Source organism: Homo sapiens, chromosome 6 (genome assembly GCF_000001405.40).
Source record: "Homo sapiens chromosome 6, GRCh38.p14 Primary Assembly".
Lineage (NCBI taxonomy): Eukaryota > Metazoa > Chordata > Mammalia > Primates > Hominidae > Homo > Homo sapiens.
This window is the reverse complement of record NC_000006.12, coordinates 30,235,499-30,248,276: the sequence shown is the minus strand read 5'-3', so window position 1 is coordinate 30,248,276 and position 12,778 is coordinate 30,235,499. Positions and strand designations below refer to the sequence as shown.

Genomic DNA, 12,778 nt, shown 5'->3' with positions numbered 1-12,778 from the left:
TTTTTTCCCCATCTTTGTGGTTTTATCTACTTTTGGTCTTTGATGATGGTGATGTACAGATGGGTTTTTTGTGTGGATGTCCTTTCTGTTTGTTAGTTTTCCTTCTAACAGACAGGACCCTCAGCTGCAGGTCTGTTGGAGTACCCGGCCGTGTGAGGTTTCAGTCTGCCCCTGCTGGGTAGTGCCTCCCAGTTAGGCTGCTCGGGGGTCAGGGGTCAGGGACCCACTTGAGGAGGCAGTCTGCCCGTTCTCAGATCTCCAGCTGCGTGCTGGGAGAACCACTGCTCTCTTCAAAGCTCAGACGGAAATGCAGAAATCACCCATCTTCTGCATTGCTCACGCTGGGAGCTGTAGACCGGAGCTGTTCCTATTCGGCCATCTTGGCTCCTTCCTCGCTGTTACAACCTCTAAAGGAATTATTTGGGGATATATATCAGATTAAATGAAAATTAAGATAAAACCTGCCAGATACAAAATGAAAACTATTGCATTATTTTACATATATGTAGAATTTTTTAAAAAGTCAAATATACAGAAATAGAGAATAAAATAGTGATTACCAGAGGTAGGGTGGGTGGAAGAAATGGGGAGATGTACCTCAAGGGATACAAAGTAGGAAATATGTAGGATGAACAGGTCTGGAGATCTAATGCCCAACCTGCCAACTATAGCTAATATCAGGGCATTGTAGGCCAGGCATGACGGCTCACGCCTGTTATCCCAGCACTTTGGGAGGCCGAGGTGGGCAGATCACTTAAGGCCAAGGAGTTCGAGACCAGCCTGAGCAGCATGGTGAAACCCTGTCTCTACAAAAATTAGCCAAATGTGGTGCCCGTGCCTGTAGTCCCAGCTACTCGCAAGGCTCAGGTGAGAGGATCTCTTGAGCCTGGGAGGTGGAGGTTGCAGTGAGCCAAGATCGCGCCACTACACTCCGGCCTGGGTGACAGAGTGAGACCTTGTCTCAAAAAAATAAATTAAAAAAATAATAAAAATGGTGTATTGTATTCAGGATTTTTGCTAAATGAGTAAATTATAACTGCTCTTGCAATGAGGGGTTGGGAGTGGGAAGGGAAGCAGGTAACTATGTGAGGTGATGGAGGTGTTAATTTGCTTCACTGTAATAACCATTTTACTCACAGCATCATGTTGTATACCTTAAAATATATTTTAAAAATTAAATTAAAAAAAGAAAATTAAGATAAAGCTTTACATTTTTTTAAAATTTAAAATTAAGATAATGGTAGGCAAAGGTGTATTAACTAAATCCAAAATGAAAGAATTCTGATATCTTGATCTTACTATCGGACAGAATTGAATTTGGGAGAGAAAAATATTAAATAAGACAACAACATTTTTTGTTACTTAAAGATTATAGGCGAAGTGCTATGGCTTATGCCTATAATCCCAGTACTTTGGGAGTCCAAGGCAGGAGAATCACTTGAGGCCAGGAGTTCAAGATCAGACTGAGTAACAGTGAGAACCCCTCTAAAACAATTATTTTAATATTAGCCAGGTGTGATGACATGCACCTGTAGTCCCAGCTACTTGGGAGGCTGAGGCGGAGAGGTAGCTTGAGCCCAAGAGTTCAAGGTTATAGTGAACTATGATTGCACCATTGCATCTAGTCTGGGTGACTGAGCGAGTCTCGGTTTTTTAAAACTCTGTCTCTGTTTTTTAAAACAAGATTATAATTCACAATTAAGATACAACTTTCCTTAAAAGTCATGTAGAAAAAGAACATCAAAATGTAAAAAGCAAAAACTATATCAATATAAGAAAAAATAGGCTGGGCACGGTGGCTCACGCCTGTAATCCCAGCACTTTGGGAGGCTGAGGCGGGCAGATCACGTCAGGAGTTCGAGACCAGCCTGGCCAACATGGTGAAACCCTGTCTCTACTAAAAATACCGAAATTAGCTGGGTGTGGTGGTGCACACCTATAATCCCAGCTACTCGGGAGGCTGAGGCAGGAGAATCACTTGAACCCGGGAGGTGGATGTTGCAGTGAGCCAAGATCGTGCCGCTGCACTCCAGCCTGGACAACAGAGCAAGACTCCATCTCAGAAAAAAAAGAAAAAATAGGCAAAAACTCACTGTTAGTAGGAATCTGTGACTGACTTCTTTTAGTCCGTGACATATCAAGAAGTCAGAAAATAAGTATTAGTACAAAATACCTAGATAACAGAATTACTAAGGCCAACCTTACAGAGATATACAAAATCCTATTCTATTCCAAGAAAAAGTGCACCTTCTTTTCAAGTGTCTGAAACTGTCCAAAAATTTACAACATATAACCTAGAAAGCCTCAAAAAAAGTCCAAAAAGTAGACATAGCAAACTTTTCTTATCACAAGACTTGAAAACTATGAAACAAAAAGACCTATTAGAAAAAAACTCAGCATATCACTGACAAATAGCTTCTTTCTTAAACAAATCTTATGTTAAATAGAAAATCAAATTCAAAATTTCAAAATATCTAGAAAACAGTAATAAAAATACCATATGCTAGAAATTATGGTACTTTGTAAAAGCAGGGCTCAACAATCCATAAAAGTAGGAGGGAAAAAAGGGACAGGCAAATAGAAGAGATAAAATAGAACTACACAGCTGAGTGTGGCAGTATGTGCCTGTATTCCCAGGTACTTGGGAGTCTGAAGTGAGAGGATCGCTTGAGCCCAGGAGCCCAGGAGTCCGGCCTGGGCAACATAAGGAGACCCTTGTCTCTTAAAAAAAAAAAAAGAAAAGAAAAGAAAAGAAAGAGGGGGGCGGGCGTGGTGGCTCATGCCTGTAATCCCAGCACTTTGGGAGGCTGAGGCGAGCAGATCACAAGGTCAGGAGTTCGAGACCAGCCTGGCCAACATAGTGAAACCCCATTTCTACTAAAAATACAAAAAATAATTAGCTGGGCATGGCGGCGGGCACCTGTAATCCCAGCTACTTGGGAGGCTGAGGCAGGAGAATCTCTTGAACCCAGGAGGCGGAGGTTGCAGTGAGCCAAGATTGTACCATTGCACTCTAGCCAGGGCAACAGTGCGAGACTCCAGCTCAAAAGAAAAAGAAAAAGGTAGAAATACACAAAATAAGAAATGAAAACATTCAGATATAAAAAGAAAAATTAGTAAATCTAAGCACATTATCTTGATCAACTATGCAAATTATTTTGAAAATGTGAATGAAATAGTAATTTTCCATGGATAAATACTAAATATTCCATTGCATATTGTCAGAATGGATTTATTTAAAAACAGAACAAAATTTATGTTGCTTATAAGAGACATTTTTAAAAAACACAGAAAGTTTGAGAATTAAAGGACAGAAAAAGAAATGCCATGTGAACACTAATCAATATAAAGCTGGAATAATTTTGCTAAAGCGGACAAAACACTTCAAGGCAAGAAGTATTACCCATTCTGTGTCAACCTCATTTTTTATATCATTATTCATCTCTCATATGTGTCTATCTGGTATCCCCAGCCATAATCTGGTAACCTATCTCATCACACGCCTTTCTACCCAGTGTTTTGCCCACAGGAAATGCTCAGTATATGCCAGTAGTCCTGGGTGTCTCTGCAGATAAGTTGTGTATTATCAAAATGCCTGACTTTATTCTCTGTTCAAAGCTTCTCTGTATCATGTGGGTATGATTTTGAAAACTGTCAATGTTAAATGTTTAACATATTCCTCAGACCCACTGCTGAGGAATGTCCTGCGGAGGACAGTCTAGAACTCAAATGAAAGACATGAGGAAGAAATCATTATCCCTGTGAGCCATAGAAGTGTTTGCTTTCTATGGACAACCAGAATGCAGGAAACCTCACTATCAGGCAGAGGACAATCTGATAATGAAATGTGCTCTACAGAATATGGGAGAAACTGTGGCCAGGAGTGGAGGCTGGGAACCATGTAGGAAGGGGAAGAATGAAAGGAAACTAGTTTTAGAAATGAACATGGATTCTAAATTTTCTCCAATACTTTTCTATAATCTCCTCTCATTTTATTTTTCTCAGCCCATTACCATCGTAAGTTCCATGACAATATTTTTTTCTAGAACTCCCTCCTCTATTCCATAGAATACCTTTCAACATACACTAACCAGAATAACCTCTCTCCCTTCTAAACAATCCCTTTCCAGCACTTGTCAAATTTCAGTAAGATGATAGACAGAGAAAACAATAAGGAGACATAAGTGGTTAAAATTTAAAAGAAAAAAAGCAAGCAGCACTTACCTGCATATTATGTCACTTGGGTCCCGGAAAAAAACAGAACACAGACATTGTCATAAAAATAGTTCTCAGGAGCCGTCATCATTCTCTACTGTGGGATCATTGAGAAATGGGTATACACCAGGACTGAACAGAGAATTATTCTGATGGACCCGGACCTGTCCTCCCTCTGTTGCAGTTTCTTTTTTTCTTTTCTTTTCTTGTTTTTTTTTTTTATTTTTTTATTATTTTTTTATTTTTTTTTTCATTTGAGATGGAGTCTCACTCTGTCACCCAGGCTGGAGTGCAGTGGTGTGATCTTGGCTCACTGCAACCTCTGTCTCCCGGGTTCAAGCGATTCTCCTGCCTCAGCCTCCAGAGTAGCTGAGATTACAGGCACCTGCCACCATGTCCGGCTAATTTTTGTATTTTTAGTAGAGATGGGATTTCACTATGTTGGCCAGGATGGTCTCGAACTCCTGACCTCGTTATCTGCCTGCCTCAGCCTCCCACAGTGCTGGGATTATAGGCATGAGCCACTACTCCCAGCCTGCAGTTTCTTTCTTTTTTTTTTTGAGATGGAGTCTGGCTCTGTCGCCCAGGCTGGAGTGCAGTGGCACAATCTCGGCTCACTGCAAACTCCGCCTCCCGGGTTCACGCCATTCTCCTGACTCAGCCTCCGGAGTAGCTGGGACTACAGGCACCCACCACCACACCCGGCTTCATTTTTGTATTTTTTAGTAGAGACGCGGTTTCACTGTGTTAGCCAGGATGGTCTCGATCTCCTGACCTCATGATCTGCCTGCCTTGGCCTCCCAAAGTGCTGGGATTACAGGTGTGAACCACTGTGCCTGGCCTGCAGTTTCAATTTATAAGGACAAATGCTTCCCCTTCATGTCTTTCATTCGAGTTCTAGACTATCCTCTTCAGAAACCTTTCTTGATTTATAGACAGATAAAAATCTGTTAAGAATCCCATTGTCTATTCAGTTAAGGCTCAAATTTCAGCCTGCTTTGGAAGGCCTCAACTCAGTTGGCCCCATCATAATTTTCACTTCTCCCTCACTTAATCTGACTCTTCCAGAAAGGTAGCTACCTTCATTCTATGTCCCCTTCTTATCAGTCTTCCTACTCCTATCTTCCCCAGCACCTATGCCCACCTGCCAACACATATACCAAGTTTATTATTACATTCATTTATCTAATTGTAACTAGTGTGTCCCCACCCCCTACCAAGTGGAATGTTTAGCTCCTTTCTGACAATCTAAATCTTACTTAGCTGGGCGTGGTGATGGGTGCCTGTAGTCCCAGCTACTCAGGAGGCTGAGGCAGGAGAATCACTTGAACCCAGGAGGTGAAGGTTGCAGTGAGTTGAGATCGCGCCACTGCACTCCAGCCTGGGTGACAGAGGGAGATGCCATCTCAAATAAATAAATAAATATAAAATAAAATAAATCTTTACGTTTCCTTCAAGGCCAACATCAAAAGCCTCTTCTTTGAAGGCTTCTCTGACTAAACACTAGCTGTTTCCAGAATTCTTGTGGCATCCAATCTGACTGGAAGATTTAACATCAGATTATTTGTTGTAATTATAAATGTACAGATCTTAATATTCCATTATATGGTCTGTGCATATTATAGACCCCTGCCCACTGCACTTTGGGGCTTAAAACCTATTGGTTGGCTAATTCAGTTATTAAAGAATTCAGTAAATGAGAATAACACCTTGTCTCTCTTGACTCTTGGTCCAAATCTCTTGCAAATAGGCCACACCGTAGTCATAGAGCAAGAGGACTCAGATACAGTTTGGTTGGTCCTTTACCTTCAAAAGTTCAAGTGCTGGCTGCCGAGACTTCTCCAACTCAGTGATCAGGGTCCCAAGCTGGACCACCTCCTCAGAACCCTTGATGACACGGCTGTTCCTCCTTTTGGTGAGTTCTTGCTCTAGCCCTACCAGCTGCTCCAACAGGTACTGTTCCCTTTCTCTCAAAAACCGATGGCCCTATTCAAACACTGATACAATGTCTTGCCTGTGGTTCTGAAATGTTGTCTACAGTAAATGCAGAAAGAGAAAAGTGACCTTTTTGAGAGGCTAGGGAACACCAGAACATGTGTGAGATCTTCTGAGGATGAGTTCAGAACAGAAATCTCTTTGATCACTCTCCCCCTCCCCATTCCTCAATACTTCCCCCACACACATACCCCTTCCTCTCCTTAACCTATGCCCCGCTACTACCTACACACACACCCCTGCCCTACACACATACACACATTCATACAGAACATTTACTAGAGACCTCTCTTACCACCAGGGCCTGAATCTCATCTTCTCCCATAGATTGAGAATTCTGAATGCTATCCTTGTATCCCTTCAGAATCTTCCGATGGTTTAGAATTTTGCCCTATGAAAATAAACAAGGATAGTCTCGGGCTGGGCGTGGTGGCTCATGCCTGTAATCCCAGTACTTTGGGAGGTCGAGGCAGGTGGATTACCTGAGGTCAGGAGTTAAAGACCAGCCTGGCCAACATGGTGAAACCCTGTCTCTACTAAAAAATACAAAAATTAGCTGGGCATGGTGGTGAGCACCTGTAATTCCAACTACTTGGGAGGCTGAGGCAGGAGAATCAGTTGAACCTTGGAGGCGGAGGTTGCAGTGAGTCGGGATCGCGCCACTGCACTCCAGCCTGGGCAACAAGAGCAAAACTCTGTCTCAAGAAAAGAAAAAAAAAGAAAAAGAAAAAGAAAATAAACTTGAATAGTCTCAAGATCAAGATGAAAATGACCTCAATGAAAAAAGGGAGATGCAAAGTGATTCCAGAGTGAAATCCAACTGCATTTGACCATGTGTAGTTTAATAATGGTTGTGTGGAACAATTTCCATTCTAGTTAATAAGGAAGATCCATTGAGTGATACAATGGCCTAGAGCAATTTCTTAGAAGTAAGACAAAATAATATCGTATTATCATTATAACTAACAAGACTTATGGTATAGTTTCTAATTTATATTTACACTATCCTTTTCTACCAAAAATACAGACAATTAAAATTAAAATTAATTAATAAAACAAAAATAGAAGGTGGGTGCAGTGGTATGTGCCTGTAGTCCCAGCTATTTGGGAAAATAAGGGTGAAGTATCTCTTGAGCCCAAGTCTTTGAGGGCATACCTTGGCAACATAGTGAGACCCTGTCTTGTAAAAAGAAAAAAAAATAGAAACAAAAAATTAACACAAAAAGTCAAGGAAAGTATATATGCCAACTCCAAATAATAATAATAATAACTATTATTATTATTATTGTAGAGATGGGGTCTTGCTATAGCCCAGGCTGGTCTCCTGTTCTCAAGCTATCCTCCTGCCTTGGCTTCCCAAAGTGTTGGGATTACAGGCATGAGCCACCACACCTGGCAGCAACTCCAGATTATTAAGAGGATGACTAAATTGGCAGGCAAAGAGAAAAGGGAAACAATGAACTGCCTGATGTTTCTTTTTTCTTTTCTTTTTTTTTTTTTTTTTTTTTTGAGACAAAGTCTCACACTGCTGCCCAGGCTGGAGTGCAATGGCACAATCTTGGCTCACTGCAAGCTCCGCTTCCTGGGTTCAAGCGATTCTCTTGCCTCAGCCTCCCAAGTAGCTGGGATTACAGGTGCATGCCACCATGCCTGGCTAATTTTTGAATTTTGGTAGAGATGAGGTTTTGCCATGTTGGCCAGGCTGGTCTTGAGTCCCTGACATCAAGTGATTCACCTGCCTTAGCCTCCCAAAGCGCTAGGATTACAGATGTGAGCCACCAAGCCTGGCCTGATGTTTCTTTAGCAGGCAAGAAGAAACATACTAGGACCCCAGAGGAAATAATATTTTCCTTGTTAAATTCTGAAAGAAAAATTACATAGATTTTATACAGGCTGAAATATTGTGAAAAAAAATTTTTTTTTTTTTTGAAATGGAGTCTCGCTCTGTCGCCCAGGCTGGAGTGCAGTGGCGCGATCTCGGCTCACTGCAAGCTCCGCCTCCCGGGTTCACGCCATTCTCCTGCCTCAGCCTCCCGAGTAGCTGGGACTACAGGCGCCCGCCACCACGCCCGGCTAATTTTTTGTATTTTTAGTAGAGACAGGATTTCACTGTGTGTGCCAGGATGGTCTCGATCTCCTGACCCTGTGATCCGCCCGCCTCGGCCTCCAAAAGTGCTGGGATTACAGGCGTGAGCCACCGCACCAGACCTCAAAAATATTTTTATAACAACTGTGTACATACCACTTGAAGCTATATACTACGAGAGCTATCAGGAGTGCTGGTATTCTGTATAGCTGATAAGACTTGATCTGAACCTCAGAGATGAAACCATCAAGGCAATGTGATAGACTTACTTCCATAAAAGATATAAAACCAAACCAGCTTTATTATCCAAATGCAAAGGGTAGTACTTTACCAAGAATCTTTCATGCTAAAGAATTTGAACTGTCTTACACCTCTTAGAAATGCTATTATATTTTTTAAAAGATAAGAAGCGTTGGTGAGGATGTGGAGAAAGGGGAACCCTGATACGCTGTTGGTGGAAATGCAAACTGGTACAGCCATTATAAAAACAGTAAGAAGCTCCTCAAATAATTAAAAACAGAACTACCATATGATCCAGCAATTTCACTTCTGGGTATTTATAGCCCATATACTTCCCATGTTCTTTGCAGCACTATTCACAATAACCAAGATTTAAAAAACCCTAAATGTTCACTGATGGATGAATAAAGAAAATGTGGTATATACATACAATGCAATATTATTCAGCCTTAAAGAGAAGGAAATTCTGCCATTGGTAACAACATGGATGGACCTTGAGAACATTATGCTAAGTGAATATGCCAGACACATACTGTGCGACCTCACTTATATGTGGAATCTAAAACAGTCAAACTTACATAAACAGAGTAGAATGGTGGTTGCCAGGGACTGGTGGGGACGGGGAATGGAGGGTTGATGGTCAAAGTTACAAAGTTTCAGTTATGCAAGATAAAGAAGTTCTAGAGACCTACTATATAGCATAATGCCTATAGCTAAAAACACTGTATTGTATACTTCAAATTTACTAAAAGAATAGATCTTTGACTAAGTGTTCTTATCACACACACAAAATAATAACAATAAAGAGGGTGTGTGGAAAGTTTGGAAAGTGATAGACGTGTTTTTGCTGTGATGATGGTTTCAGAGGTGTATACTCATCTACAAACTCATTAATTGGTATACATTAAATATGTATAGCTTTTACATGTCAATCATACCTCAATAAAGTAATGCAAAAAACCTGCACCTTATCCTGAAGGTACCATAGAACTTTCTGGCTAAAAGAACAGAGCTGGGGTCCAACACGATTCTTACCCGACGAGGCTGTGCAGCCTTTTCTAGGAGAACAGCAGCATGGTGCTTGTGTTCTCGGGACTCCAACGCATCACATACACCATCTGCTGGTCATCCTTTGAAGCATTAATGGAGCTTCTCCAGGTGTCGCCTACACAGCTTCTCTGCTTTTTGCTCAGGTGGTCTTTCCTCTCTGGGTTGTCTCTCCTCATCTACCTTCATTCTCCAAATGTTCTCCATCAGGTTGGCCATCTGCCACACATGGCAGATATTTTTTCTTAAAAGCTGGCTTGCACAGAGAACAATGTAATGGTTGCCTAGTAGATTCACAGACCTGAATGATGCAGTGGTAGCAAAAGACATGACCACAGTCAATGGTCACTGGGTCTCTCAAGTAGTCAAGACAGATGGAGAACCTCATCCTCCAGATTTCTCAGAGGGGAGGCAGCAGTTGTGATCACTATGCTCAAGTCCTGCAAAGAGTTCACTCTCAAAGTGAGAAATCACTTTCTAAGAAGACATGAAGAAAACAAAGAAGTTGTGAGTTTAATGAACATCAAAATGGAACCCATGAGAAAATAGTTTTTATGTTCAAACTGCTCCCAACCTTTTTTCTCAAAATCCAAAGTCCCTTCCAGAGCACTACTCAGAACACGTTCTGGCTTGCAGTGTTAGATGAATGTTAATTTTAGGCAGCTAGCTCTGCTGTAAGCATTTCAAAGGGTGCTCATATATGTAATTTTTTTTTCCCCGAGACGGAGTCTCGTTCTGTCGCCCAGGCTGGAGTGCAGTGGCACTATCTCGGCTCACTGCAAGCTCCACCTCCCGGGTTCACGCCATTCTCCTTCCTCAGCCTCCCAGGTAGGTGGGACTACAGGCGCCGGCCACCTTGTCCGGCTAATTTGTTGTGTTTTGAGTAGAGACGGGGTTTCACCGTGTTAGCCAGGATGGTTTCGATCTCCTGATCTCGTGATCTGCCCGCCTTGGCCTCCCAAAGTGCTGGGATTACCGGTGTGAGCCACCGCGCCCGGCCTCATATATGTAATTAAGTGGGAGTATCCTAGAAGATTTTGGACAACTAATTTTTCAATAAAGTCTAAAGGATTTGTGCCCACCTCTCAGTAGATCAGCTCAGTAAAATATATTTCCTGTAAATAATTCAAAAGTAGAGAATAAGAACTAACAAAATTTGGGCCTGTATCTTAAAACTCATCTGAAAACATGAGAGCTACATATTAGAAACCACTAGGTTTTGGCCGGGCGCGGTGGCTCACGCCTGTAATCCCAGCACTTTGGGAGGCCAAGGCGGGCGGATCACAAAGTCAGGAGGTCGAGACCATCCTGGCTAACACGGTGAAACCCCGTCTCTACTAAAAATACAAAAATTAGCCGGGCGTGATGGCGGGCGCCTGTAGTCCCAGGTAGTCGGGAGGCTGAGGCAGGAGAATGGCGTGAACCCGGGGGGCGGAGCTTGCAGTGAGCCGAGATTGTGCCACTGCACTCCAGCCTGGGCGACAGAGCCAGACTCCGTCACAAAAGAAGAGAAAAGAAAAGAATGCACTAGGTTCATCCACAGGTCTGTTATTCATACACTGCCTGAGAAATCTCTTCATCATGGTTTAAACTAATTTTTTTCAAACATGTTTTGAAACATCACAGTAAAAAAGTCACTCATGTCCCAGTCTAATATACATGCATATGCACACACAGACACACACACACACACATTTTGTTGGGTACCATTTTTCTTTATTATTTGTAATATATTCTGATTTTTAAATTACAGTCCGTTTTAAAAATGCTGGTTATAACCTGCAAAATTGGTTTCATGACAGTAGGTATCACCTACATTTTGAAAAACAAATCAAACCACAACTTTATCACTAACAGTGACCTCTACCTACAGATGCAAACTCTGGGGAGCTACCAAGGCCTACTGAACCACCACTTGAATCTTGCACCTTAAACTCACACATCCAAATCCACTATCTCTCTCATTCTTCCTATTCCTCAGGAACACGTACCAATAGCCACCCCATTATCCAAGCCATTACAGACAACAGTAAGGAGGCTTCTCAAAAAATTAAAAGTAGAACTACTATATGATCCATCAATCTCACTAATGGATATATATCCAAAGGAAATGAAATTGGTACGTCAAAGAGATACATGCACTCCCATGTTCACTGCAGCGCTATTCACAATAGCCAAGATATGAAATTAACCAAAGTGGCCATCAAAGAATGAATAGATTTTTAAAAATGTGGCGTATGTACACAATGGAATACTTTTCAGCCATAAAAAGAATGAAATTCTGTCATTTGTAACAACATGAATGAACCAAGAGGACATTATATTAAGTAAGCCAAGCAATGAAGAACAAATGGCACATGATTTCACTCATATGTGGAACTGCAAAAGCTGATCTCATAGAAGGGAAGAGGAGAATAGCGGTTACCAGAGACCGAGAAGGAGAGGGAGAAGTGAGGATGTACACTCAAGTGAGAATGTACACTGAAAACTATAAAAAATTGCTGAAATTGAAGATCTAAATAAATGGAAAGACATCTTGTGTTGATGGGTAGAAAGACTTAAAATTGTTAAGTTGTCAATAATATCCAAAGTGATCTACAGACTCAATTAATCTCTATCAAAATTTCAACAGCCTTTTAAACAGATATGGAAAAGCAGGTCCTTGAATTCATATGGAAATGTTCACAAAAAAACAAGTGTTTGTAGGAAAAACAGAGTTTTGATAGGCAACTCAAAATCTATTCATCTTCATACTCATAACACTAACAAAGCAATAACAATTCGAATAAAAATACTAGCATAGTTTTTAAAGAGAAAAAAAAAAGACTTGTTAAACTCTAAATAGATGAAAGACTTTTTAAAGGGGGAGCTAGGCTGAGGGGTGGCTCATGCCTGTAATCCCAGCACTTTGGGAGGCCGAGGTGGGCAGATCACTATGTCCAGAGATCGAGACCATCCTGGCCAAGATGGTGAAACCCCCATCTCTACTAAAAATACAAAAATTAGCTGGGCATGGTGGTGCGCGCCGGTAGTCCCAGCTGCTCGGGAGACTGAGGCAAGAGAATCGCTTGAACCTGGGAGGCAGAGGTTGCAGTGAGCCGAGATCTCACCACTGCACTCCAGCCTGGTGACAGAGCAAGACTCCATCTCAAAAAAAATTTAAAAAAGGAGGCCAGGTGCAGTGTCTCATGCCTG

At 41.7% G+C, this 12,778-nt stretch overlaps 1 long non-coding RNA gene and 1 pseudogene across 1 annotated transcript in view; one reads left to right on the top strand and one right to left on the bottom strand.

The window, feature by feature from the left end:
• Positions 1-12,778, top strand: part of HCG17 (HLA complex group 17) — a 92,096-nt gene that overhangs the window by 77,858 nt on the left and 1,460 nt on the right. Inside the window, 1 exon segment of the long non-coding RNA NR_052012.1 lies at positions 5,966-6,130. This is a non-coding gene — a long non-coding RNA (HLA complex group 17).
• TRIM26BP (tripartite motif containing 26B, pseudogene) lies at positions 5,998-9,976 on the bottom strand (annotated as a pseudogene).